This window comes from Homo sapiens, chromosome 14 (assembly GCF_000001405.40).
Source record: "Homo sapiens chromosome 14, GRCh38.p14 Primary Assembly".
NCBI lineage: Eukaryota > Metazoa > Chordata > Mammalia > Primates > Hominidae > Homo > Homo sapiens.
In genome coordinates, this window is record NC_000014.9 from 90,018,033 (window position 1) to 90,045,929 (window position 27,897).

General features: G+C 43.5%; 1 protein-coding gene across 18 annotated transcripts in view; it reads left to right on the forward strand.

Annotated features, from left to right (window-relative positions):
- The window catches only part of TDP1 (tyrosyl-DNA phosphodiesterase 1), an 89,797-nt gene extending 63,065 nt beyond the window's left edge, over positions 1–26,732 (forward strand). For 14 of the 18 annotated variants that reach the window (XM_047431570.1, XM_011536942.4, XM_047431568.1 and 11 more), the window contains 3 exons: positions 1,284–1,386; positions 15,074–15,182; positions 25,038–26,732. In XM_047431570.1, the coding sequence (XP_047287526.1) occupies positions 1,284–1,386; positions 15,074–15,182; positions 25,038–25,111 (286 nt within the window). In that variant the 3' untranslated portion in view covers positions 25,112–26,732. The remainder of the gene's footprint in view (positions 1–1,283; positions 1,387–15,073; positions 15,183–25,037) is intronic. The other 4 variants (XM_047431576.1, XM_047431577.1, NM_001330205.2 and 1 more) reach the window with 1 other exon arrangement.

The following is a 27,897-nucleotide window of genomic DNA, read 5'->3' on the forward strand; positions in this document are numbered from 1 at the left end:
CATTCTTCTTTCTCTGTTCCCATAGAACCCTTAACAAACTTTTTTTTTTTTTTTTATCTTACTTGGTCGTTGTTTTTGTTTGACTCTCCAATTCCAGCAGACAATAGTTCCAGCACATAGCTCAGAAAACATACTTGGTGCACCAGTGAGTGAATCTCGAAATAGTCACAGTCATCCACAAAGTCAGGCTCTAAAGAGTTTTCTGAATAGCTGAGGTTTATATGTTTTAAAAATGAAATAGAACTTGGGTGAGCCTAACTGAAAAAATGTTTATGGTGGGTTTATGTTAGTCTCTGCCACATTCGCTTATAAAAAGAGTCTCTGAAGACGCCTCAGAGCTTAGTGGTCTCCATTCCTGAGCACCTTAATATGCACCTTGGCACCTCTTGCAAGTTCAGTGTCCAGTCTCCTTTGTCCTGCTGCAGCTTGATTTTTTTTCTTTTTCTTGAGACGAGGTTTTAATTGTCATCCAGACTGGAGTGTGGTGGTGTAGTTTTTGCTTGCTGCAACCTCCACCTCCCAGGCTCAAGCGATCCTCCCACCGCAGCCTTCCAAGTAGCTAGGACTGTAGGTTCGCGTCACCATGCCTGGCTAATGTTTTTTAGAAATGTGGTTTTGCCATCTTTCCCAGGCTGGTCCTGGGTTCAAGTGGTCCGCCCGCCTCGGCCTCCCAAAATGCTGGGATTACAGGAGTGAGCCACCATGCCTGGCTTGTACCATGATTTTTTTAGCCACAACTCTTTGAACATATAAAACATCATTCTGAATGTACCATTTATCTCTAGATACAAATAACAGTCTTTGCCCTCAGAGCTGTTTTCTTCACATTGAAAGTAGAAATTAGCACTACCTGGCAAAAAAACTGAAAAAGGAAATATGAAGCTTAAGATACTACTACATAAGATAATATTAACTTTCTTCTTAAATGCTAGTTTTATGTACAACAAAACCAGAAATCCTGGCTACTCCAGGATCGTGAAAAGAAAAGGGGCTTTAGAACGAAAAAAATAAAATCTAAGGAAAGATAATTATTTTAATAGCTGCCCTCAGGAAAATGCAGATGAGGGTGAAACTATCCCAAATTAGCAATTAGATAAATCTCGAGGATTAGAGAACAGCAGATTTTAAATTCTCTTTTCAAAAATGCAGCAACTCTGCTAGAAAATGAATGAATGTGATTGCAGCTATATATTTTTTTGACCGGTGCTCTTGCAGCTGTGGAAGTTTGACCCACACTGAGATGCCTCCCTGAGTCAGCCCTATCTGTGTCCTTGTCTCTGCAGCGCAAATCTGTCCAAGGCTGCCTGGGGAGCATTGGAGAAGAATGGCACCCAGCTGATGATCCGCTCCTACGAGCTCGGGGTCCTTTTCCTCCCTTCAGCATTTGTAAGTTTACACTTCCAACTGCACAGTGGGTCACATGGGAGATGAATTGGGCTTTGTGTTCTCTTCCTTTAGTCACAACAGCTTGCCTAAGGTAGGCAGGAAACAGTCGGGATTCTTACCCAGAGCCTGCACTCTTAACCGCTGGTCTGTACCTCTGAGCTTACTGAACACTCACCAGTCTGGGTGCAGTGGGATACCTGCTTTCAAGGCATGTACTTGATTAGGAATTGACTGTGTGCTTCCAGCGAAATTAATAACATTTAAAATAAATATTGTGAACTACAATGTGAAGATTTATCTCGAGGTGGTAGATGACAAGTCACCAAAGGAATGGCCCAATCAAGCACAAGTTGTTTTAGGTAGGGGTGACTGGAGGATGAAGTTGGGAAGCAGGAGAGCTTGGCAGAGTATTTGAAAGATGCTTAGGATGTAGGCTGTATAGAGAGAGGTGGGAATGGCATCAACGTTGGAAAGGAATTGGTAGTAGCACAAACTGGGAAGCAGAGATTGGTTCACATCATCGGCTAGAGTTTGGCTGGGCGGGGCCAGTGGGGTGGCACAAAGGACATGTGCTTCTGGCCCAGTAAGCCCCCTGGAAAAGCACCGTGTCGAACTGGTCTTTCGAGATGTCCAGCACAGCCAGCTTGTCTCCTAGCTCTGGAGCCACTTGAGATTTCTGTGTCCAAACACCAGAAAGAGTGGCTGTGTCCAAACACCAGAAGGAGTGGCTTGCACATAGGGGCTGGGGTGTACAAGCCATCTGTTTCTCTAAATGCTAGAATCACGCTTGACCCAGAGAGATATTCTCACCATAAGAGGCACATGGACTGAGATCTCCCATGTCACCTCCTTATACTCACTGTGGGTACACACACACAGAATACAGAATCGCCCACACAATGAGATGGCTAATGCTTTTTCCTTCCTTCCTCCCTTCCTCCCTCCCTCCCTCCCTCCCTTCCTTCCTTCCTGTCACTGTGGGCACACACTCAGAATCGCCCACACGATGAGATGGCTAATGCTTTGCCCACATGATCAGATGGCTAATGCTTTTTCCTTCCCTCCCTCCCTCCCTCCCTCCCTCCCTTCCGTCCCTCCCTCCCTCCCTCCCTTCCTTCCCTCCCTCCCTTCCTTCCTTCCCTCCCTCCCTCCCTTCCTTCCTTCCCTCCCTCCCTCCCTCCCTCCCTGCCTGCCTTTGTCCCTCCCTCCCTCCCCGCCTTCCTTCCTCCCTCCCTCCCCTGCCCTCCTCACTGGCTATAGTTGAATTTATGACAAACACACATGACAAAGCTCCATTGTGGACAACACCAACTGGACCAGATGATTTAGCTGAGGGGTTGGTGTGTGCTTGTCCTCAGACTTCAATCTGGACTAATCCAGTCTTTTTTTTTTTTTTAGACAGAGTCTCGCTCTGTCGCCCAGGCTGGAGTGCAGTGGCATGATCTCGGCTCACTGCAACCTCCACCTCCAGGGTTCAAGTGATTTTCCTGCATCAGCCTCCCTAGTAGATGGGACTACAGGCGCCTGCCACCACGTCCAGCTAATTTTTGTATTTTTAGTAGAGACGGGGTTTCACCATGTTGGCCAAGTCTCCAACTCCTGGCCTCAAGCGATCTGCCTGCCTCAGCCTCCCAAAGTGCTGGGATTACAGGTGTGTGCCACTGCTTAATCCAGTCTTAAGGCACGCTGGAGAGCACCCACCTTCCCAGCCCACCCCAGCGTCGTTCACTGTTTCTCACACCGTGCTCAGGTGAAGAGCTCTTTTCTCCCTTTCTCTCTCCTCTTCTCACCAGTCTATCCATTCTTTCTCTTTCTGTCTCAGTTTCACTACAAAACTATGTAACTAACCTCTTTTAGTTATAAGATTTCAGCTTTATCATACAGCTTGTGGGAAACAATGAAGTCACATCACTAGGAGGTGTGATTATAGTGACTGTGGCTTTTATAATAACTGTGGCTGGAGTTCTCTCCCAATAATAAGTAATGGAATAAATTCCACATCACTCCTGTTTGGCTTCTGTTGTCAGCATTTACAAAAGTCTGGTCCTTTGTAACTGTTCTGACCATGAAAATGCTGATCATGAAAATGCTAATAGGAAGAAATGTATTGCCCTTCCAGGTCCTCTAAACCCTTCTGAGCTATTCATTTTTTACCCCAGATATTCTTTCTCTGACTATCCATTAATGAAGGCTAATAGAGAAAAAGAAATAATCATTTGGAATCCCTAAACCGACCTTATAGGGGGGCTCTTCTATATTTTGGAATAAGAAAGAGCCCCATTATAGCACATTCCAGGTAAAATAGAGATTGCATTATTTATAAAGACCATCAGACAAGAATATAAAACAGATTCCACCCCTTCTAGACTATGCCAACTGATTCAAGAGCTAGGCACCAATTAGGGTGACGATGTAATTAACAGTCTAAGATTGTAACAGATTTTCCAAGAGTTTGTTAGCACATCTCAAAAAACAGAGCCTGGAACAGTGCTTTCCAGCAGGCTTCCGTCATGACCCTGGTGAGGCCCCACTCACTATACCTATCTTGTCATTAGTCATTGTCCCTTTGGTTGGGCTGTGTCCTTCAGTGAATCACAAATGACTTGGGCAGAGTGCTCTAATCAGGCATTGTGGACGGTACACAGAATGGCTTTACCCTTCCCCTCCCAGGGAGCTCATAGGCTAGTTGGGCAGGGTGGTCATAGAGTCAGATGGCCACCTGATACACCTAAGCAATGAGACAGAGACATCCTTCCTGGGTGAGAGCTGGGTGCTGAGATCTGAGGGAGGTGCCTACCTGAGTGAGCAGAGCCAGAGGACTTTGTTGTGCATTACAGAAACCAATTTGTGCCCACAGAAGCCCACAGATGGAAGGAGTTTACTGAAAAGATGCTGGGGGGATGTCATGGGATCAGAGGAGTTGCTGAGTAGCTGAGACTTGGGAGCAACGGGCCCAGGCCCTCTTAGGGGACTCAGCAGCGGCCCTTCTCCCTGGGTTCTGCAGCTAGCATGGCTCTGCAGCCCAGGTGCTGGCCAGTCCGCATCCCAGTGACACCTCAGGCCTAGATCTGCCTTCCATGACTCAGGACTCTCCCAGCTCCATTCCCGGAGAAAGAGCCTGTTTCCAGAGAAGGGAGGATGGATGTGAGCGAGGAAGTCACCCTAAGGGGTAGATACTACCAAGGGGTTTCACCCATAAGTGAGTTGATGTGCGTCTTGTCAGTCTGTAAAAAGGGTTGTTGGGTTATTTTGATATAGGAGACTTTATCTTAAAGTGCTTATATCACAACATCTATGTTGTCTACTGATATGTGAAGCTTCTGGAAAAAAAGTAGACCTTTGCTTGGCCTTCACAAAATTAACATTGATGGTTTTGACCTTGAGGATGACCCAGAGATTTGTGCCATGAGGTAGTTTGTCGTTTCGCTGAGTTTATACGTGCACAGGAGTGAGATGCTTAACTTGTGAAGGAGAGGCTGTCCAACGGAACAGCCCGACGGTTCCCTCCTCAAAGCATACCCCAGGCTCCTACCTGGACGTTCCAGTGGCCTGGGACTACCCACCTCCATACTCACTTCAGTCCCACACATACCCTGTGCCTGCTGTCTTCCAGGCCCCTGCGAAGAGAATAAAGGATGAAGTGGAGGCTTCGTTCTCTGGTAACGCATGGATAAGCTGAGGAAACAGACACTGGTGATTACAATATATGACAACAACTAGGGTGTGGGGCATTCAAAATACAGGGGCTCTGAGAAGAGGGACCATGTGGTCTGCCCGGGGGGCTTGGGAAAGGCTTTGTTAAGGAGGTGGCATTCGATCTCACTCTTGAGAAAGGAGTATGAGCTTAACTGCTGTCAGGGAAGAGGAGGCTTCCAGACAGAGATAATAGTGCAGGCTGTGTTTGGGAAAGAGCAAACAGTTCTGTGTGCTTGGAATGGGGATGGGGCGTGGGTATGAGAGGCTTGGAATTCCAATCTGAAGGAGACTGGAGAACAGAACACACCACTGGCCTTGGTTCCACGTGGATAGTAGAAAGGCATCAGTTTTTTAAGCAGGGCTAGTGGTCTTAGGCCAGTTTTCAGAGAATTTGAATCTTACAAAATATAATTCTGAAATTAGGATTATGATTTATACTATTTAAAAGGTACTTGAGGATATAGCACATTGCATGTATTATCAAAATCATCATCTTAGCCATGTAAACCACACTGTTTAACAAACCTGATTATTAATGAGTCACTGTTACTATTCACCTCACTCTCTTGGCACGTCTTTTCTTTTTTTTTCCTTTGAGACAGGCTCTTGCTCTGCCGCCCAGGCTGGAGTACAGAGCTGCAGTCTCCACCAGGCTCAAGCAGTCCTCCCACTTCAGCCTCCTGAGTAGCTGGGACTACAAGTGTGTGCCACTACACCCAGCTGACTTGTTAATTTTTCTGTAGAGATGCGGTCTTGCCATGTTGCCCAGACTGGTCTTGAACTGCTGGGCTCAAGTGATCCTTCTCAGCCTCCCAAAAGATCTTGTCATTTCTCACTCCTTAATGCTTCTTGATAATCTGTTCCCTCTGAACACCCCCGCAACATCACATGCTGGGCGAATCAGCTGTTACTGCCATGGCCCCCACTTCACCTCCCTGGGCCACATCTATGCTACTCCTCAGTCCACTGTGGGAATGGGCCTTGTAGACCACAGATCTGGTTTTGTTACCTGCTGGAGATCCTGTAAGGTAGAATCCAGCCTCCTTAGCAGGGCTTCTTTTCCCCTTCGTGCTCCGACTCCTAACCTCTCGTTCCTGGTACTTACTGTTTATGCTGTGCAGAACTCATGGCTCTCACTACGAGCCAGGTCCACCCTGCTAGCCAGCCATAATCTGTACTGAGAATGACACCTTTACGCCCCACCTCTGCCTGCTGCACCTGTCTCCACTCCAGGCACCCCTCCTCTGCATCCACAACTTTCTAGAACCTGGGGCTCAGCACATATCCCACCTTGCATTGTGACCTTTGACTCTTGTCTCCTGGACCAGAGTGAGCTGAATGGGTCATGTGGGAGGCTTTTCCTAAGTGTCTGTTAGTTGAAGTTGTTTCCTTTAAGTTGATCCATACCGAACAATGTGAGAAGTGTGTGAAACAGTATGGAGACTGTGATTTTGGTCCAGTGGGTATTGTGTGCAGTAGGTGCTTAAATATGTTCACAAACTGTGTTGTAAAGCAATTTGCAGTATGGAATAGCTCATCTGTAGCTGTCTTGAAATTAAAATACACATACGCTTAGGAGTCCACTGCAGTACTTACAAATGCCAATCCCTATAAATTAATTTAATAAATATCTTAAAGATTTCTGTATCATAATCCTAAAATGTTTACTGACAAGAATGCAGTTTATCATAAAATGAGGCCAGGAGTTAATATCTTTTTTTAGGTTTCCCTGTTCAGTACCAGCAAGACATGCCTTTTAGTGTTTTTGGCTTCATGTTTGCCAAATAGACTTACTTAATACAGAATTTTTTAGACATCCTTCAGACTGGACATCATCCAGAATTTACTTCCTTGAGATCAGCCCTCCTTCATATCTCTTGGGTAGAACTCTGTGTCCGCACCACCCACATGTCTGAGGTATCAGCAGCCAGAGTTGCCACTTTTGTCCTTCACCAGTAGGCCGTGTCACTTGCTGTGTTCTGAGGGGCTCATTTGGAGCCATTGTTGCAGATAGTCAAGCTTAGTGCCCAGAATGGCACAGTGTCACACACTGCAGAGGCCTCACCTAGAAAAGGAATCCTGCAGTTCTCTACTTCCCCACAGCCATGATTAGGACCTGTCACTCTGGAACCAAGTTGCCGTGTGATGTGACACTACTGTGAACTAAAAATACAGCAGGTGGAGAACCAGCATTTCCCATTCATGATAAAGATGCCATTTGAAACCTGGGATTGATCTGGAGGCTGATAAGTCGCTGGTACCATGTGTTCCTATTTTTTTTCTTGTTTTTTTAAGTGAATAAATCTGGAAATACATCCTTTTGAGAGAAACCTAACTTGTAAAGTATGTTGTCAATAGCTTCCCCTTTGACTAAGAACACTTTCAAGAGCTTTGGAGAGTCATGTCAAGGTACATTTGACTTTGTATGCCCAGTACTTAGTGATGTTTGGTGTATAGTAGTAGTAGTCGCCTAATAAAAGTTTGTTAATTTAAATCAAAGACTTTATTCTTTTCAGGTCTAAAATCAATTTATCAATTATGTAATGTTTTCTGGGTTGTCCCTTTAAGTGTATTTAACTTTTAAATTAGACTACGGTTCAGAAAGTCTCAATATAGGAAAGCTGTGATTATTTCAAAGATCAGTAGCTGTATTCCAAACCCAAAGGCCTCTGTGAATATATCAGGGAGGTACAAGTACTTCTCTCTTTGGACCTCATTCCTTTGGTGTTTATTGAGCACATACTCTGTCAGCCACTGAGTAGGCACTAGACTTGAGCCTGCCTAGTGCACTGTGGCTAGAATTCCTCCTGCCTCTGGGAATAATATTGCACATAAGCATCTGAGAAGCCTGGATCAGGGTCCAATACTGCTTACTTCCGGATGAAAGTAGCCCAGGTGTCCCTGTGCTGGTCTCAGCCTCTTCTGAGCCCCAGGGTCACTTGGTCCTGTGCTAGTGGGTTCCAAAAAGTCAAGTCTCTACTTTCTCTTTTCTCTGTTCTGTTTAAATTTTTTCATTGTAAACATGGTGTGTACCAAAAGTACATGCACTCTTATGATGTGGCTCTGGCTGGAAGAACTAATACAGTTTACAAGAGCCACCACCTTAACCCTCTCTTTGTCTTCTTCCTCCTGACACCAATGCTGCCTACCTGCCTTGGGCCCAGCCCATCTGTTATGGGTCCCCAGGGTTTCCCAGGAGGCCACAGCCGGGCAACAATTTGACATGGCGTATCTTGGTACCTGCTGATGTTCTCGCATCCAGCGAATAAAGCCACGGCCCTTGCATTCTACTCCTTCCTCTCACCTGTCCACATCCTATACCATCTGCCCTGGCAAGAATTTATTTTCTTTTTTTTATTATTATACTTTAAGTTCTAGGGTTCATGTGCACAACGTGCAGGTTTGTTACATATGTATACATGTGCCATGTTGGTGTGCTGCACCCATTAACTCATCATTTACATTAGGTATATCTCCTAATGCCATCCCTCCCCCTCCCCCTGCCCCACGACAGGCCCCGGTGTGTGGTGTTCCCCACCCTGTGTCCATGTGTTCTCATTGTTCAATTTCCACCTATGAGTGAGAACATGTGGTGTTTGGTTTTCTGTCCTTGCGATAGTTTGCTGAGAATGATGGTTTCCAGCTTCATCCATGTCCCTACAAAGGACATGAACTCATCCTTTTTTATGGCTGCATAGTATTCCATGGTGTGTATGTGCCACATTTTCTTCATCCAGTCTATCATTGATGGACATTTGGGTTGGTTCCAAGTCTTTGCTATTGTGAATAGTGCTGCAATAAACATACGTGTGCATGTGTCTTTATAGCAGCATGATTTACAATCCTTTGGGTATATACCCAGTAATGGGTTGGCTGGGTCAAATGATATTTCTAGTTCTAGATCCTTGAGGAATCGCCACACTGTCTTCCACAATGGTTGAACTAGTTTACAGTCCCACCAACAGTGTAAAAGTGTTCCTATTTCCCCACATCCTCTCTAGCACCTCTTGTTTCCTGACTTTTTAATGATCGCCATTCTAACTGGTGTGAGATGGTATCTCATTGTGGTTTTGATTTCCATTTCTCTGATGGCCAGTGATGATGAGCATTCCTGGCAAGAATTTCTCTGCCTGTTCCTACTGGTTGTCACCTTCTCTCTCCCCTGGATGAACTGACCCTTCCCTCCCTGTTTTCCCCATCTCAGGCTACTGCTGGGTTTCTACCCACATGTCAGGGTCTGTGTTCCTCTGCCCTTAAACCCTCAGCAGCAATCTTTGGCCCACGAGATGATGTCCGGACTCCTTTGTGTGACATCAAGGTCCACTGTGAGCTGGAACAGCATGTCCCCCAGGCTCCAGCCACCCACAAGTATTTGTTAGCATATTAATGCACGTAGGCTGTAGCAGCAATGGCCCCTTTTTACTAGCAGTGTGATCCTGGGATCTACTGCTCTTTGTCTCAGAGACTCTGAAGTAACTTGGTAAGAGAATATGGGGAAACACATTGGACAGATCCCTTAGGGACCTCAGATCTCTAGGAGCCAAAATGAGAGAAAGAGAATGAACTTTGAAGTGAGACAGAGAGGAGCTAGGATCCTGCTTACAAGCTGTGTTAGATTTGGCCTCCTTATTCTACTTCCGTAGGCCCCTTTTTCTCGTTGTACAATGGAAACAATGTAACTCATAGGATCTCATGTGAGATCAAGAGTTATAACCCATAAAGTGTTTACAACAGTGCCTGGTACTTAGCAAGTCTCAGTAAAGGTTGCAGTTGACATTAGCAGTAGCAGCAACAGCATATAAGCCACACAGTTCAACAGAAGGTTGAAAGCAGGGGCTGATACTCCATGGGTTTTCAGTCAAATCAGAATCTTGATGTCACTTCTGTGATGACGTTGCACTCTTTTCTTTCCTTCTGAACTGCATTCCCCCAGCCCCACACAAACAGCCCTTTGCTTATCAAAAACCCATCCTTCAAAATCCTGTTAGGTTTACACTTCTCCACAAAGCTTTTCCTAAGCCCCTAGCTGGAAGCACTTCCAGTTGTTGATCCTATACTGCCTTGCAGGAAAGATGCCACCACCTTCCTATAATTTACTTCCTTGCCAATTAGTTGGTCTTTGACTAAGTGTGCCCCTTCTGGGAAGTTCAGCTGCTATCACTGTTTTATCCAGGAAAGCCTGATGCCTTGTGTAGGGTTTTACCACTTGAGGTTGCTACTCGGATAGCTGCAAATAAAAACATAAATTACATCTCTAACTGAAACTGAAGCATGCCTCCTGTTCCCTATGATTGAGCTAAGCTGCTAAACATAAATCATCAGAGCGACAATCAGCTCTTTCACTCCCAAAGCTGAAGAAAGGAAAAGCCAGCAATTTCTCATGTGTGATATATGTCCACCCTCTCACCTGGTGTTTTATAAACGTATTGTCTTAACTGTCTTCTAAGTATCTGTGCCTGGGAGGGTGCCTTCCTCTGTTTTGTAAAATGCCAAGTGATACCACTGTGATATATAAATAATGATAATTAGAAGACAGCCTCAAATTATTTGACATTCAGATTGAAGGGGAAAGTAGTACTTTTTTTTGTAATAACCTAGAATTTGGATCAGAAATGGCATTCAAAATAAAAGCATATTGGTTTCTGTCAGACAGGGATAGTTCAAACCTTCTCATATCTGAGGTCGAATATCACAAAATGGAGTCATGGGTCGAGCACACAGCCTCAGATCTGGGCCCAGGCTGTAAAGAACCATAACCTGTGGCCACGATATATTTGAAAATATCAGGACTAATAGGAGCTAAAGAAGAGAGAAGTCATTTTTTACCTGAAACTCCATAAAAGTATAATAATCATTAACTTGGAATCACTTCCCAGCCACTAGCCTCTTTGTTTTTTAAAATGTCCAAATACCAGGGTTTCTAGAATTTGGCTCATCTTGACCCTGCCTGCCTTAAATTTTCAAGGAATTCTTCCTTTGTCATAGTTCCTGGTGGTGAATGTGAGACCATTTGTTTGCTTGGTGGAAGGAATGTAGGACCAAGAATCAGAAAGACGGTTTGATTTCCAGCCCTGCCATTATTTTTTTTTTTTTTTTTTTTTGAGACAGAGTCTCGCTTTGTCACCCAGGCTGGAGTGCAGTGGTGCCATCCTGGCTCACTGCAACCTCCGCCTTCTGGGTTCAAGTGATTCTCCTGCCTCAGCCTCCTAAGTAGCTGGGATTACAGATGCGCACTACCACACCTGGCTAATTTTTTGTATTTTTAGTAGAGATGGGGTTTCTCCGTGTTGGCCAGGCTGGTCTCGAACTCCTGACCTCAGGTCATCCGCCCGCCTCGGCCTCACAAAGTGCTGGCATTACAGGCATGAGCCACCGCACCCGGCCTTTTTTTTTTTTTTTTTGAGACAGAGTTTCATCACTGTCACCTAGGCTGGAGTACAGTGGCTCGATCTCGGCTCAGTGCAACCTCTGCCTCCTGGATTCCAGCGATTCTCCTGTCTCAGCCTCCCAAGTAGCTGGGATTACAGGCATACTCCACCATGCCTGACTAATTTTTGTATTTTTAGTAGAGACAGGGTTTCACTATGTTGATCAGGCTGGTCTCGAACTCCTGACCTCAGGTGATCCACCCGCCTTGGCCTCCCAAAGTGCTGGGATTACAGGTGTGAGCCATTGTGCCCGGCCTTGCCACTTTTAATAGCTGTGTGGCCTTGGGCAACTATTTAACCTCCAAATATGTTTCCTTCTCTGTAAAATAGGAGTGATTACATCACAGAGAATTGTCCTGAAAATACTTATAATTATACTCATTTGTTTCCTGGAATAAGTACCATGGGCCAGTCATTGTTAAATAACTTAAATATCCTCACAGTAGCCCTATGAATTAGGTGCTCATATCATCTTCATTTCATAAACGAGGAAACCAGGGCCCAGAAAGGCTAAGTAACTTGCTTAGAGCCACACAGCAAGTAAGCAGTCTGCAAAAGCAAGAGATAATTAGGGACTTCCTCAGATCCAGAGTGTGTCAAAGGTAACATGTGAGCAGGGAAACCTGGGGGCAGGTGCTGCCGAGCTGGCCTGCCTGCCCTCCGTGTCTTCCCTGTCCCCCTCCTCTGTGTCTTCCCTGTCACCCTCCTCTGTGTCAGTGCCCTCGCCCTCCCGGGATGTGCCTGCTCTGTGCTTTGCTGACCCTGCCTTTGATTATGCTGTTCTCACGCTTGGTATTCTTCCCTATCATCTCTCTGTTTATTAAAATTACACCAATTTTTCAAGCCCTAGCTAAAATATCCTCTACAAAGCCTTTCCTTATCCTTCTTGGATAAGGAAAATGACTAGAAGAAGGGCACTTCTTCCTATTCTGTCTAGAGTTTGTGCCTGGCATCTGCCACCTCCTGCCTTTCACTGTATTACTGATCACCATCTTCATCAGTGCTGTAACCCATACCTTTCTGTAGGTCTTGACATGCACAAAACACTTTCACACAGGTTGTGCCATTTGCTCTTATGCAGAAACTTATAAAGGAAGCAGGAAAGGAACTTTAGTTCCATTTCTACAGATCGGTATTTCTTGAACACCTACTATGTACCAGGACTTGTGCTGGGTGCTAAAGTTAGAAATGGTAATGTCTCCAGAAGCTTGATTATCTCATTTTTACTCTTTTTTTTTTTTGAGATGGAGTTTCACTCTGTCACCTAGCCTGGAGTGCAGTGGCGTGATTTTGGCTCACTGCAACCTCTGCCTTCTGGGTTCAAGCTATTCTCCTGCCTCAGCCTCCCAAGTAACTGAGATTACAGGCACACACCACCACTCCAGTTAATTTTTTTTTTTGTATTTATTTATTAGAGATGTGGTTTCACCATGTTGTCTAGGCTGGTCTTGAACTCCGGACCTCAAGTGATCTGCCTGCCTCGGCCTCCCAAAGTGCTGGGATTACAGGTGTGAACCACCACACTCAGCCTTTCCCACTTTTACAAACACAGAACATTTTTTTTTAAATTTTATTATTATTATACTTTAAGTTTTAGGGTACATGTGCACAATGTGCAGGTTAGTTACATATGTATACATGTGCCATGCTGGTGTGCTGCACCCATTAACTTGTCATTTAGCATTAGGTATATCTCCTAAAGCTATCCCTCCCCCCTCCCCCCACCCCACAACAGTCCCCAGAGTGTGATGTTCCCCTTCCTGTGTCCATGTGTTCTCATTGTTCAGTTCCCACCTATGAGTGAGAATATGCGGACAAACACAGAAATTGAAACCTAGGCACAGTGGCTCACACCTGTAATCCCAGCACTTTGAGAGCCTGGGGTGGGTGGATCACTCGAGGCCAGGAGTTCAAGACCAGCCTGAACAACATGGTGAATCCCTGTCTCTACTAAAAATACAAAAATCTGCCAGGCATGGTGGTGCATGCTTGTAATCCCAGCTGCTCGGGAGGCTGAGGCATGAGAACTGCTTGAACCCGGGTGGCAGAGGCTGCAGTGAGCCGAGATCACACCACTGCACTCCAGACTGGGTGACAGAGTGAGACTCTGTCTCCAAAAAACAAAGAAACCTAATAAAAGTGGCCAACTGTCCCACTCAACATCTGTTTTAGTCCCTGGGACCTGCCAGGCTCTTTGCCACCTCTGGGCCTTTGCGGATGCTGTTCCCTCCACCTGCAACATAATTCTTTCCACTCCCACCTGACCAAACTCTGCTCATCTTTCAGAGTTTAATAAAGGTGTTGCTTTTTTAAGAGAGGCTTCCACTGATCACCCGCTCCTGCCAAGTCTAAAATAGGCCTGCTATTCTCTTATGGCACTCCTTTGCTTTTCTTTGCAGCACTTAGCACAAATAGTAATTTTTATTTTACTTTTATAGATGTATTTTATGTCCCTCCACCAGACTGTATACTCCATGAGGACAAGGATATTGATGTTTATGTTAACTCTTGTACACTCAGTGCCTGGCACCATGCCTGACCCAGAAGAGGGACTCGAGAAATAAAGTGTCGAATGAACGAATGTGCAGACATCAGTCATTTACTCAGCTTAATAAATGCCAGAGAAAAGTCTAGAACCCAGATTATCTGAAGCCCAGTCAACACGGACCTCCCCATGTTCTTTGACACTGCCCATGACCAGCCTCCGCTTGCTAAGTTGCACCTCAGTCTTTGTTCTTTTTATGGGTTCCTAAGACATCAGCACTGTTGGGTATGTGCCTATTGAGGATTTGAAGGGTGGATATGTGTGTGGATGGGTGGACAGAAGGAATGAGAGACAGACGGACAAGCAGAATGCCAGGATGATCCACGAAGGGGCAGGAGTTGGTCAATGTATGGAAGCACGAGGGGGCACATCGGTCATGTGGTAAGCACCTGCACTGCGGCAGGCCTTGTGTTGGAAGGAAGTGGCAGTGTGAACATCAGCCTAGATATAGAACCTCCACTTCCACCCTGATTAAGATCTAAAATTAATACCCTATTCTAGAGTTCTTGGAATAAACCTTCCATTTTGATAGGTCTTAAAGAATTTTCATTTTTATACTTCTGTCACATTATATTGGAACACTTTCATTATACATGAAAGCAGCTTTTATTTCTTCTTACTCCAGGCAGCCTGTTACTATAGCAATGTTGGAAGTATTTTGAGGTATTTTTATACAGTGAGTTCTACAAACTCCCTGCAAACTGTACATAATGTTGGGTTGAAATGGGCTATCATATCCAAAATTGTCTCTCTTGTTTCTTTGTATCCTTTGAAAACTTTTGCAAACTTTGCTATAACTTAATTCCTGAAAATTAAAGCTCTTATGTTTAGAAAGGAAAATAATTTGGGGCGGGGGGGTTGTAAATATATTTGCCTATGAACATTGAAAATACCTCCAAAATAATTTGAATTTTATTTAGGTACCATAAAGATATTATTGCTTCTTGAGGCCTTCTGGTTTTTTTTTTTAAACCCAGAAAATGGGGTGCAATCATAGATTTCCTCTGTGTGTCTGCAGGGTCTAGACAGTTTCAAAGTGAAACAGAAGTTCTTCGCTGGCAGCCAGGAGCCAATGGCCACCTTTCCTGTGCCATATGATTTGCCTCCAGAACTGTATGGAAGTAAAGGTGAGACACAGATAAAGGAAAACCACGGGTGGATATGCATAAGAAAAACAAACAGAGCCCAGGAGAAGCCTTTGGTCTCAGTGGGATCCTGGCTCATGGAACCCTCTGGAAGCTCAAGTTTGCAGAGGGCCCTTTGCCAGCCTGTCTGGGGCCTTGTAGCCACTGGTTAGTCTTGGAATCCCTTTGCACTCCTATAATTACTATACAGATCCTTCCTGACTTACACTGGGGCTACATGCTGATAAACCCCTCATGAATTGAAAATATCATAAGTCAAAAATGCATTTAATGCGTCAAATCTACTGAGCACCATAGCTTAGTCTAGCCTACCCTAAACATGATCAGACCTCTTAAATTAGTCTACACTTGGGCAAAATAAATCAAAGACTGTTTTATAATAAATTGTTGACTATCTCATAGAATTTATTGGAGACTACTAAAGTACTGTTTCTACTGAATGCGTATCACTTTCACACCATCATAAAGGTCAAAAGGTCATTAAGTCTAACTATTAGAAATTAAAACCAAGAAATGTAACAATAATAAATCTATTGTAACGTACATTTATGCCAGGCACGGTGGCCCACACCTGTAATCCCAGCACCCTTGGAGGCCGAGGCAGGAATATTGCTTGAGGCCAGGAGCCCAAGGCCACCTTGCCCAACATAGCGAGAACCAGTATGTAAAAAAAAATTTGTTTTAAATAGCCGGGTGTGGTGGATCATGCCTGTAGTTCCAACTATTTGGATGGCTGAGGTAGAAGAATCGCTTGAGCCCAGGAGTTTGAGGCTGCAGTGAGCTATGATTGAGCCACTGCACTCCAGCCTGAGTGACAGAGCAAGACCCCAACTCTAAGGAAAAAAAAAAGTTCTTATGACAATTTCCAAAAAGAAGAAAATAGCAAGGAAAGTGGTGTTTTATGTTTTTGCAAGCCTCTTTATGTGCATCTTAAAAGGTGACACCTGAATTCTCATTGCTGTGTTCTCATTGAGGCTGTTGTGATATCACATCGCATAGCCTCTGTATACCTGTGTAAAAATGAAAATGAAAACAACAAATGATGGCTTAATACTACAATGAAAATAATGTTGACTTCACAGGCCCTCCCAACCACCATGCTCACAAACCCTCAAAAGGGAGGTCCCCAGGGGCTACACTTTGAAAACTGCATGCATTGAGTCTTAAGGGCAGTGACCAAGTATCTTTCACAGTAGAAACACAATAGGAATAGCTGCAGAAGGTTCAGTTGTGCTCAGAGGAAGGCTGGCTGGCATCAGTGTACCCACCTATGTCTGGCCTGCGTGTGTCCCAGCCTCACAGGCTGCTCTGCTGCTTTTATCAGCCCTGAGAATATCTGTCTTTAAGGTGGGTCCACACTTAGCAAACTCAGACAGGATGAGATATATAATCAAGACACACTTAATTTAAAATGGCAAATTACATCACCAAATCAGCATATTCTCCACTGGAAAGGAGAGGCCCACATAGCCAAATTATAATCTGCAGGTTTCTGAGCCAGTGTTAAATCTGAACAGAGAAAAGATTTTTTTTTCAATTGGCAAATTTTAATGACATCACTCATTGATACCCCAAAATCTCCAGTTCTTACCAAGCTTGGCCTTGCCCAGTGGTTCCTCTGTTCCCTCAACAATGTTTCATGGAATCTAACAACTTCCCTACCCACTAACCTTCTCAGCTTTCATGGTGAACCAAGCCTCCTCTGTCGCACTAACCTTCCCAGCTTTCATGGTGAACCAAGCCTCCTCTGTCCCGCTAACCATTCTCAGCTTTCATGGTGAACCAAGCCTCCTCTGTCCCGCTAACCTTCTCAGCTTTCATGGTGAACCAAGCCTCCTCTGTCCCGCTAACCATTCTCAGCTTTCATGGTGAACCAAGCCTCCTCTGTCCCACTAACCTTCTCAGCTTTCATAGTAAACCAAGCCTTCTCTGTCTGATGGGCCCTTTCTTAGATGGTGTTAACACATCTGACAAAGTTAATCCTATCTCATGCTGTCCAGTGTGCCATCCTGCCTCTTGCTGGTAACTTTGTATTTCTCTAATCAATAGTTTGATGCTAAGTTTCAGGAGGCATTCTTTTTCTCCTTTCTAAAGTGTGGAAATCCCCTATGCCTTTCTGTTGAGTCCTCTAAATTTCTTGTGTATTCATGCATATTTCGTTTTCGGTAGCAAGGCTATCTAGATTTTTATCAGAATTTAAAGCAGTCTGTCAGGATCTTACCTGCCACCAAAAAAAAAAAAACCCCAGGAAAACCCTGCTTTAAAATCAGGCCATGTTTCTGTGCCAACTCCACAACTTACTAAATAGACTTGGGCATTTAGTTACTTTCTCTAGGTTTTAGTGTGTCTGTCTACACAGTGAGGAACTGTGAGTATCTACCTTATAGGGTTATTGAAAAGATTAACTGAGATTATCTATAAAGTACTTATCTTCCCTCTTTTGGCTTTGTGCTACTTTTGTCTTTTCTCCCCTTATCTGTTCTTCAGGTTCCTTTTCTTCCTTTTTTTTTTTTTTTAACCCAAGTTCTCCTCCTCCCTGTTGGAAGTGGGGACTGACTGACTAGGCTTTATCTGCTGGGGTCTGGCCTTGGGCCCTGCACTTCCCACCCCCAGCCCTGCACCCTGGCTGGATTCCACCCCCTTCATTTCTTTAGTCCTAATCTTCAAAGGACTAAGAAGGCAAAAATGGAAGCACTAGAAGAGCCTGAAAAATGTTCCAAGGGCCCTTTCCTTCCAGTAAAGTAAGCATTCCCAGGAACTTAGAAGTTTACAGCTAGGTATAGTGTCTTAGACCATGGAATGAGAAATCTTTTATTTGGCCAGCAAGCAGAATGCTTTCCAATGTTTAAATGAGTTTTGTTTGTTTCTTCAGCATTTCTTTTGAAAGATACATATAATCTCAGGGTATGCTTAAGCTAAAATAATAATAATAAATTTTTTAAAAAATAAAGATACATACAAGAGAGACTGGAGCATTTTATTTAATATTGGTACTGTTTTGTCCTCTACACTGCCTCAGTTGCATGTAGGATAATGCTAGTAATTCAGTATTACCAGTTCATATATAGCCAACATTCCTGGGAAGCCATATGGACTATAGAAAGGCATTTACCAAGATTGAAAAAGTAAGTGGTTAAGAACATTTGAAAAGCACTTCATTTTAAAAAGTGATTTTCAAGCCATTGTAACACCTCTAAGATCTTGTCAGTGTTATTTTAAAGACAGAAGACTACAAAAAGCTTAGCAAAGGAATATACTGCTGTGAATGAAGTAAAGCTCAATGCAAGAGGCTGCCAGATATCTTGAAACCAAGAAAATGATCAAAGTAAAGCAAAAACTAAGACTCAGCTACCAGTATACCCTGCTTGGTGCAGTAGTTACTGTTTATTCATTCTCTCCACAGATCTATATTGAGAGCCTATTGTGTGCAGACACCATCTAGGTGCTTGGAATATGTTGGCAAACAAGACAGGCACAAATCCTTACTCTCATCAAACTTACATTCCTCTTCTCCTGAAAAATCAAACTTAACCAAACCCATTTTACTAATAGTAATTTTAAAAGAAGCCCCTCCCCCGCCCCTTAAAAAAAAAAAAAGATAGGGTCTCGCTCTGTCACCTAGGCTGGACTGCAGTGGCATGGTCTCAGCTCACTACAGCCTCAAACTCCTGGGCTCAAGTGATACTCCCACCTCAGCCTCCTGAGTAGCTGGCACTACAGTGCGTGCCATCATGCCCAGCTAATTTTTAAGAAATGTTTTGTAGAGATGGGGTCTCGCTATGTTGCCCAGGCTGGTCTTGAACTCCTGGGCTCAAGTAGTCATCCTGCCTTGGCCTCCCAGAGTGTTAAGATTACAAATGAGAGCCACCACACCTGGCCCAAAGAAGGCTTTTATAAAGCAAAATCACCAACTTTTAAAATCTAACACAGATTATTTCCATATGTCCCACTTGCTGTGTGACCTTGATTTTGAAGAGGAAGCAAAATAGACTGGTGTGTAATCTTAACCTTTCTTCCAAGGGCATCTGTTTTGCACTCCCTTCTTAGCTTATATTCACTTTGTTATCTTATATGCTATCTAGAGAGTAAAGGGTGAAGAAGTAATGAGCTAAGGGTGAAATAAAGCCTATCTTATTTGGACTTAATAAATTGTATGACTCCTTTAAGAAGTAACTGAACATGCAAAGCTTCAGAGGTACTAGTTATAGTCTATTAAGGAGGTTGTTTCATTTTTATTATTTTAAAAAAATACACATATGAGTACTTATATAGTATTTTTTTCCTTTCAAAGTTTTGGCATAATTCCAAATTTACAGAAAAGTTTACAAGAAGAGTACAAAGAATTCCTGCACACTCTTTACCCAAGTTCCTGAATGTCAATATTTTATCACATTTACATCCTCTCTCATATCAATTTTTCTCATCTATTTGAGAGTAGCAAACGTGATGTCCTTTTATCCCTAAATACTTTGATTGTATATTTCCTAAAAAGAAAGGCATTCTCTTACGTAACTACAGTACAGTGATCAATATCAGCAGTTAACATTGATCCAAAACTGTATTCAAATTTCATCAGTTTCCTCAATAATGTCCTTTATAGCAAAAGAGAAAGTTCATGCATTGAGTTATGTCTCTTTAGTCTCCATTAATTTGGAACAGTTCCACAATTTTTTGTTTCATGGCATCAACACATTGCATAGCATGGACCAGTTATTTTATAAACTCTGAGGAACATTCTACTTTGGGTTTTCCACTCACCGTTTCTTTATAATTAGACCCGGGTTATGTACTTTTACCAAGAATACCAAAGAAGTAATGTGTTCTTCCTGGTGCATCATATCAGGAGGCACATCCTATCGATCTGTCTGATTACTGATGATGTTAACTTTGATTGATTGGTTAAGTTGGTGTTTACCAGGTTGTGAATAATTGTTGACAAGTATAATTTCAAAATTTTTTTTAAAATTTAAGTGGCTGAAACTAAACTAATAAACTGCAAATGTAGTTAATAGAAGAGGTCCTTAAAAGCTGATTGGCACATGAGGTATGCATAATGTAGATTTAGCATATACATAATATACATAATCCTCCAAAAGGTTTTAAAACCATTTGTTCCTAAATGGTCTAACCATTCTCCCACTGCCTTATTAATTTTAAATAGCTCCCTACTTTCAGATAGTAGCAGAATAAACTTCACTAAACCTGTTAGAATTATTGCTAGAGTCCAGAATCATCAAGTATTTTTCTAAGGGAAACTAAGTTGATTGGATTATCCTTTCCAAATAAAATGCACAAAAGGTATATTGCTTTAAATTGTTGGTATGGCTGGATGTGGTGGCTCACACCTGTAATCCCAGCACTTTGGGAGGCAGAGGCGGGCAGATCACTTGAGGTCAGGAATTCAAGACCAGCTTGGCCAACATGGTGAAACCCTGTCTCTACTAAAAATACAGAATGTAGCTGGGTGTGGTGGCACATGCCTGTAATCCCAAGTACTTGGGTGGCTGAGACAGGAGAATCACTTGAACCTGGGAGGTGGAGGTTGCAGTGAGCTGAGATCGTGTCACTGCACTTCAGCCCGGGTGACAGAGCGAGACTCCATCTCAAAAAAAAAAATTGTTGATATGTTTTATTTTTAAGGACCTGTTTTTGAAAGATCTTCAGAAATGAAGTTTTTTTTTTTTAATGAAGTACCCCAAAACATTTTTTAGAATGATTTTGGCCATCTCCTTTAGTAAAATCTATTTTTGTTTCATAGCACAAACAGAAGGCTAAAAGTAAACTATGAGTTCAGCTTTTAAAATTACTTTGTAATCAGGAAGCTTAAGGAAATCTAGAATTGAAATTGATTCTTTTGAAATAAATAAGTACTGAATTTTCAGCAAGTTGAATTTATCCTCACACCAGTAAGATGGTTCTATTCTGCTGTATATAGTCACAGATTAATATGTGCAGTTCACAGAGAAAGGTGTTAATGGGTTTCAGATAACATTGATACCGTAATTACAAATAATTGCATTTCTACTAACTTGGTAAATCAGTGCAAAACACTTTGGAGCTCTCTTTGGCATTTCTAGCTGGCATGTCTCGTACATTCCTTGATTTCAGAGTAGGCTAATGTAAAATGGCATTGGATCTTTTAGGATAATTGGTTCATCTCTTTGGCATTCCACCCTGCCCCCACACCCTACTTTACTTATTCCTGGTATAAGAATTAAAAGTGACTGCTCAGGCGAAGACAGTGACAGTGGCTTCTGGAGGTCGTACATCAGGTTTCGCATAGAGATGACAGTGGAAAATGTATGTGTGGGTGTTCGGGCATGGGGGTGAGAGCAGAGTCATAAGTCCTTAACCCGTGGCCATTTCTTAGGGGGTTGGAGAAAAGACCTTATTACCTGGCTAAACAGGATTTTGTACGTCACTTGGATTTATCTGATTATTAAAAAAAAAAAAAAGAAACTGTTAAGACCTACATAGTACATAGGGTGACAATCCTTATCCTCTGTGAGTTGAGGGAGGTGAGTAATCTCAAAAGCAGCTAGCATTCATTAAGTACTTTTGTGTACTAGGAACTCATATGAGCACTTGACATGAATTAATTCATTGTATCCTCACAACCGCATGATGCAAGTACGATAGTACAATCCCCAATTTCCAGATGAGGAATCTAGGGCACTCAGAGTAACTTGGTCAAGGCCCCACTGGCAGTCTGGTTCCAATGCCCACACCCCCTTTCCCGTTACATGGTACTACCTCCCCGTGGAGAGCTAAGTTCTAGAGTTAAAGAGGCAGAAGAGGCACACAGTATGACCACAGGGAGAGATGGGACAGAGACTCTGTATATAAAGAGATCAAAACCACATGGGCTGTCATTTTCATCCTTCCAGCCATGGCCTTAATGTAGGCCTCCTCTTTCTCACCCAGCCTTGCTTACTTGTTCATCTTCCCAGTTCTGGTCTCCTCCCACTGGAAGCCATCCTCTACAGTGCTACCATGCACATCTGGTCATGACCCTCCCCTCTTTTAAATTCTTCCACTATAGTCCAGAAAAAAGACAGCTTCCCATCCCCGTAGCCTTGAATCCCAAACTCTGACTACATCAAGATCATCTTTAGAATTTGATAAAAATGCATATTGCCAGGCCACAACCCAGACCTACTGAAACAAGGTCTCTGTGCATGTGTCCTGGGAAAATGTTCTCTAACAGGCTGCCCAGCGTTTCTCATGTCAGCCAGGTTAGGGGACTGCTACACAGATGTGGAAAAGGTCAGAACTCCACCTCTGTGGCATGCCTGCTTGTCTGTCTTCCCCACTGGACTAGAAGCCCTGCGAGGTTTCATGCATGGCTTATTCCCCTCTGTCCATAGCACCTAGCAAATCTCTGGCACCTAGCCAGCATGCAACAAATGTTTTAAATACGTGCATGAATTATTACAAGGCAAGTTGTTCTCTCATGGGACAATTTAGGAGGATTGCATAAAGCAGGTTTTCCTCTCAACCAGTGAGTATTAATGCTGATTTCCAGGAGTGATGAGTTAAAAGAATCACAACCACCTTCTTTTCTCCTCCTATGGTTATTTTTCTAGCTTTGCCTCCAGGTAGTGATGGGCTTTTCAGCCAGCTATAGACATTCTACTCATTTAAACAGCAGAGTTTAGTTTTTGTATTGGAAAGGCTAAAAACTCAAAAAGCAGAGCTACAGGGAATTTGCCAACAGAGTGGTTACCAGGTCCTTGCTTGGTCATTTATGACCTAATTTTGAGGGAGAGGAGTAAATGCAACAGTGATATTTAAGTTACTGGCTGAGTGGTAAATGCTTGTATCAAAAATCCTGCATTGCTGAATAGTATGTCTAATAGCACTCATAGCAAGAATTGGGTGTCATTGGCCTTGGGAATGAAGCAGAGCTGATGTTACCCAACAGAACAGTATACAGGAAACGATGGGTAAATAACAGAAGTCCAAGCACAGATGGAGTTTCCAGTGGAAGAGAGCAAGGGCTTGCTGAGGCCAATGAGTGCAATGGGGAGTCAGATCTGTCAGCCCTGCCAGACCCTCAGCCTCTTAGGAAACAAGCATGCAACACAGACCCAGGTGTATGGCTCTCTAACAAGCTTGTTTAGTTAACAAAGAAGTGTTTGGTTTCATGCTTTCAGACCATCCCAAAGCCAGAGACAGACAAACAGCGTTCTGATGATTTGCTGCCATCTTTGGTATTTTTTCCTACCTATCCTGCTGGGTGCTGCTGTTCGTATGATGGCTCTGAACAAACCGTGAGGCTGCGAGAAGACAGCAGCAGATACCATTGTTTGTCAGACCTTCCTGTGACCTACCATCTGCCTCTGTTCAAGAGAAAGGGAAAGGTTGCCCCAGAGGCGAGTTCGCAGTTGGGAGACACTGCTTTAACTTGGTGGTCCATGCCAGACCCGCCAAGAAGCAGTTTACAATGTGCATTCTAGCCCCTTGAAGTTTCTCTAACACTTACCAAGACAATAATATGGGGAGTTATTTTTAATCCTTGTGATGTATTTACGGTCTACCCATATTATAGTTCTTTTGAAATGGTTTGACTCTAGCAGTGGCAATGTGTGGTAAAAGTGATCTGTTGAAATGTTTTCAATTTCTGAAACATCAGTTAAGATGAAGAAAAGTTCACATTTATTGAGCACCTACAACAGGAGCTTTCACAGATGTTCTCATTTGTGCTCCATAGTAATCCCTGCCAGTTGCTAAAGTAATTAATTCCCATTCCATAGAGGAGGAACTTGATGCCATAACCCACATGCCTTCCCTAGGGTATTAAGAGGGACGGAGGAGGTGGAATTTGACATGGTCCTCAGTGTCCTTTCCATTGTACCATACCCAGGCATGTTGTTTTCTTCAGCATTGGTCTACAGTTATTTATACAGAGGCCTTCATGTTTCATCAATTATTAACCCTTAACAATAGAACAAAAACATTTTATAAATGTGACTGTGGGCCTCTTGGTTACGTGTGACCAGCTGAGAGCTGCACCTGTGGCTGTACCAACTATTACTGTTGCTTTCTTCAGCTTCCTAAAAGAAGAAAGGAATTGCTGCCCTTTGTTAGGCCTTTTCTGTCTGCCAGATACAATGTCTATGTGGATTTTTCTCAGTCCTCGTGACAGCTCCACAACATAGGTACAGATAAGGAACCTGGGGTTCTGGTTAAAGTGATTTGCCAATGTGACACAGCTAGTAAGTGGCAGCACCAGGATTTGCCCCTGTGTCTCTGCCTGCCTCCCTGTATTAGTCTGTCCTCACACTGCTAATAAAGACATACTGGAGACTGGGTAATTTATAAAGGAAAGAGGTTTAATTGACTCATAGTTCCACATGGCTGTGGAGTCCTCACAATCATGGTGGAAGGCGAAGGGGAAGCAAGACACATCTTACATGGTGGCAGGCACGAGAGCACTTGTGTAGGGGAATTCCCCTTTATAAAACCATCAGATCTTGTGTGAGACTTATTCACTATCATGAGAACAGCATGGGAAAGACCCGCCCCCATGATTCAATTACCTCCCACCAAGTCCCTCCCACGATATGTGGGAATTATGAGAGCTGCAATTCAAAATGAGATTTGGATGGGGACACAGCCAAACCTTTTCATTCCCCATGTTCACTCACCTAGTGTCCTAATAGGAGCCTTCGCTAAAAGCTGTTGTCTGAAGGGGGAGAATCTTCTGGGCTTGGTTCAGAAAATACTCTACCACAGTTTAGAGAGTCAAGCACATAAGTGTTTTTATGCCATCAGGTGAGTGCATTTTCTACCATCCTATTCAAATAAATATTACGTAATGTGTTTTTCCCCCAGATCGGCCATGGATATGGAACATTCCTTATGTCAAAGCACCGGATACGCATGGGAACATGTGGGTGCCCTCCTGAGAATCTTGAGGCACTGTGAAATTTAAGTGTAAGACATTGAGCCACAAACATGGAATCTCTTCTTTGTACTGGATGTCCACTTCCCTTAAAGTCTTATTTGCACCCTTACAAAATCTTTCCAAAGGTCACTCTTATGAATGGATGTTGGTTATACTTTTAATGGACATTAACATTCCTAATAAAGTATTAGTTTCTTAATTCACTTTTATATGTTTTGGAAAGAAAATTAGTGAACTTCTCTATGTTAAAAATACGTACTGCTTGAGTATCCCCTGTCTGAAATGCTTGGGACCAGAAGTGTTTCAGCTTTTGGATTTTTTTGAATTTTGGAATATTTGCATAGCATAATGAGATATCTTGGGAATGGGACCCAAATCTAAACACAAAATTCATTTATGTTTCATATACACCTTATATACAATAACCTAAAGGTGATTTTATATGATATTTTGAGTAATTTTATGCATGAAACAAAGTTTTGACAGGCTTTTGACCGTGATTCATCACATGAGTTCAGGCATGGAAATTTTCATTTGGAGCATCATGTCAGCACTCAAAAAGTTCTGGATCTTGGAGCAGTTCAGATTTTCAGATTAGGGATGCTCAAATCTATATAGATATAAAATTATCCTCACAGTAACATAGAATCTCTTGGTGCTGTCAGCTGTTGGGAATTGAAGATTGACTTTGTGCTTCCACCCTCCATCCAGAAAGGCACCCTTCATTCCACCAGAACTTTACCCAGGAAGAACACGATCATTTCCTTTTTCACCGATGCCCTCTCTCAGCTTTCTGAGTACGTCTCTTGGGGTCGCTGGAGGTGATCCTAGGATCTGTCTCTGAGACCAATGTGCTGTTTCAGCCCCCTGCAGCTAAGAATTGTATTGACTGTCCTCACAGCGGCTTTTCATAGCTTTCAGCTTCAGCTTTACGAGGCTTCTCCTCTCTCCCTGGCACCCTGCTGGCTGCCTCACTGCTTACAGACAGGTCCCACCAAACCCAAACACCTGCCTAGGGTAAATGGGTCTCTCTTCTATCCCCAGAAACTTTCAGAGGAAGCAGCTCATAGAAACATACAAAAGCACACAAGTATTTTGGGAAAAAATCCTAAAAGGTGACTTAATTTGATGCCTTAAATTCACAAGTGAGGAAGCTAAGGCCTAGAAGGTTAAGGATGTCCCCAGGGTCACACAGTGAGCGGGGCTCAGAGCTTGAGTGTCTTTGTGCTTTGTGTACATTGTGTTCTCCCTAGGGTGCTTTAGACCCTGTTTGTTTTCTTCTGCATGAGGCTGATTTCCAGTTTGTCATCAACCTCTTTATCTTATAATTTAGGATAGAGTTGAACGTTAGTCTTGAAAGATTTTCTAAAGTAGTCTTTCAAACTGTTCCTCAGAGGCCTAGGATTTTCCAAAAGTACCTTAGGAACCTTGTAGGCTGCAGTGGGGGTGTGGCGATAGAGCAGGAGGCAGGGAGACAGGGCTGCAGGGCCTCCCACCTTCCAACAGACAGGCTCTGCTGTATCTGTTGTACATACTGGGATTCTGTAAAGGACATTATCTGGGGTGTTGTATGTATTTTTGTGTGTTCTGCTTTTTTTAAATAAACTTGAAAAGCTACTGAACTAATTTAACCAGTTGATTTTGCAGATAAGGCTTAAGCCTTTTGTGACCCTACCCTCTATGTACGAAAACATTACAACTCGACATCAGATGAGCTCAACAGCCATGAAAGGAAACAGGGAGAGCCCTGGGGCTGGTAGTGAAAGGCGACATCATGGTGGGGCTGGCCCCGCAGTTTAATCCGAGTGTCCAAAGGACCGTGGCAAAGAATGTGCGATTCTTACCATGCACTGGTCCCACCCACGTTGGGGCAGGGGCAGCATAGGCTTCCAGGTAATGCCAGGCAAGCCTCACAGTCAGCAGGGCATCCTCATCACAGCTGCAGTCAGTTGGCCTGCTCTGGAGCAGGACCCAGCCAATCAAGACAATGGTGGCAGATTGATAGCTACATGATGGCTATGTGGGGGTCACACGGGTACATTGCTTATCTGATCCACATAACAGCACAAGGAGGTGGATTGGCAAAATGGGTCAGAGCTCAGAGCTGGAGTCAGGTGGGCAGGGTTTGAATCTCAGCTCTGCCACTTACTGGCTGTGCAGCCTAGATCAGGTTATATAACTTCTCTGTGCCATGGTCCCCCAACTACAAAATGAAGGTGGTGATAATAATACCGTTTGTAGAGGGTTGATGTGTCTGGTGACTTAGTACATATAAAGTGTTAAGCCACGCCTGCACAGAATGAATACAAGTGCTTACTGCCGTCACTGTTACAGGTAGGTCATTAGGATTGTCTATGTTTTCCTGAAGGAAATTCAAAAGGTAAAATGCTTGTCCAAGGTCATACTTCTACAAAGTGCACTTTAGCAGCACCTGAACTCAGGTCAGACAGCACCTAAAGCCTCTTCTGTTAACTACTGGACTGTACAGCCAGAGCTCCAGGGCAGTGTGGTAGGCTGTATCTAAGGAGGTGGACTGTTTTTCCCAATCTATTGTGGACAGATGACATTTTTAGAATATAAAGTCAGGTGCTTGGATTGTGTCAACACTGTCAAATTGCTATGGAAGTCTCTGAATGCTTGCTTTGACCTTCTGAACTCAGCACCAGCCGGCCGTGCTGAGTCTCCATTTCCAGATGGGCCCTCCCAGGCCTAGAGGAGTACTACTCCAAGTCTGGCAGTAGTACTCACACTTGGAGTAGTATTCCTCTAGGCCCTGGGGGGGCCCCA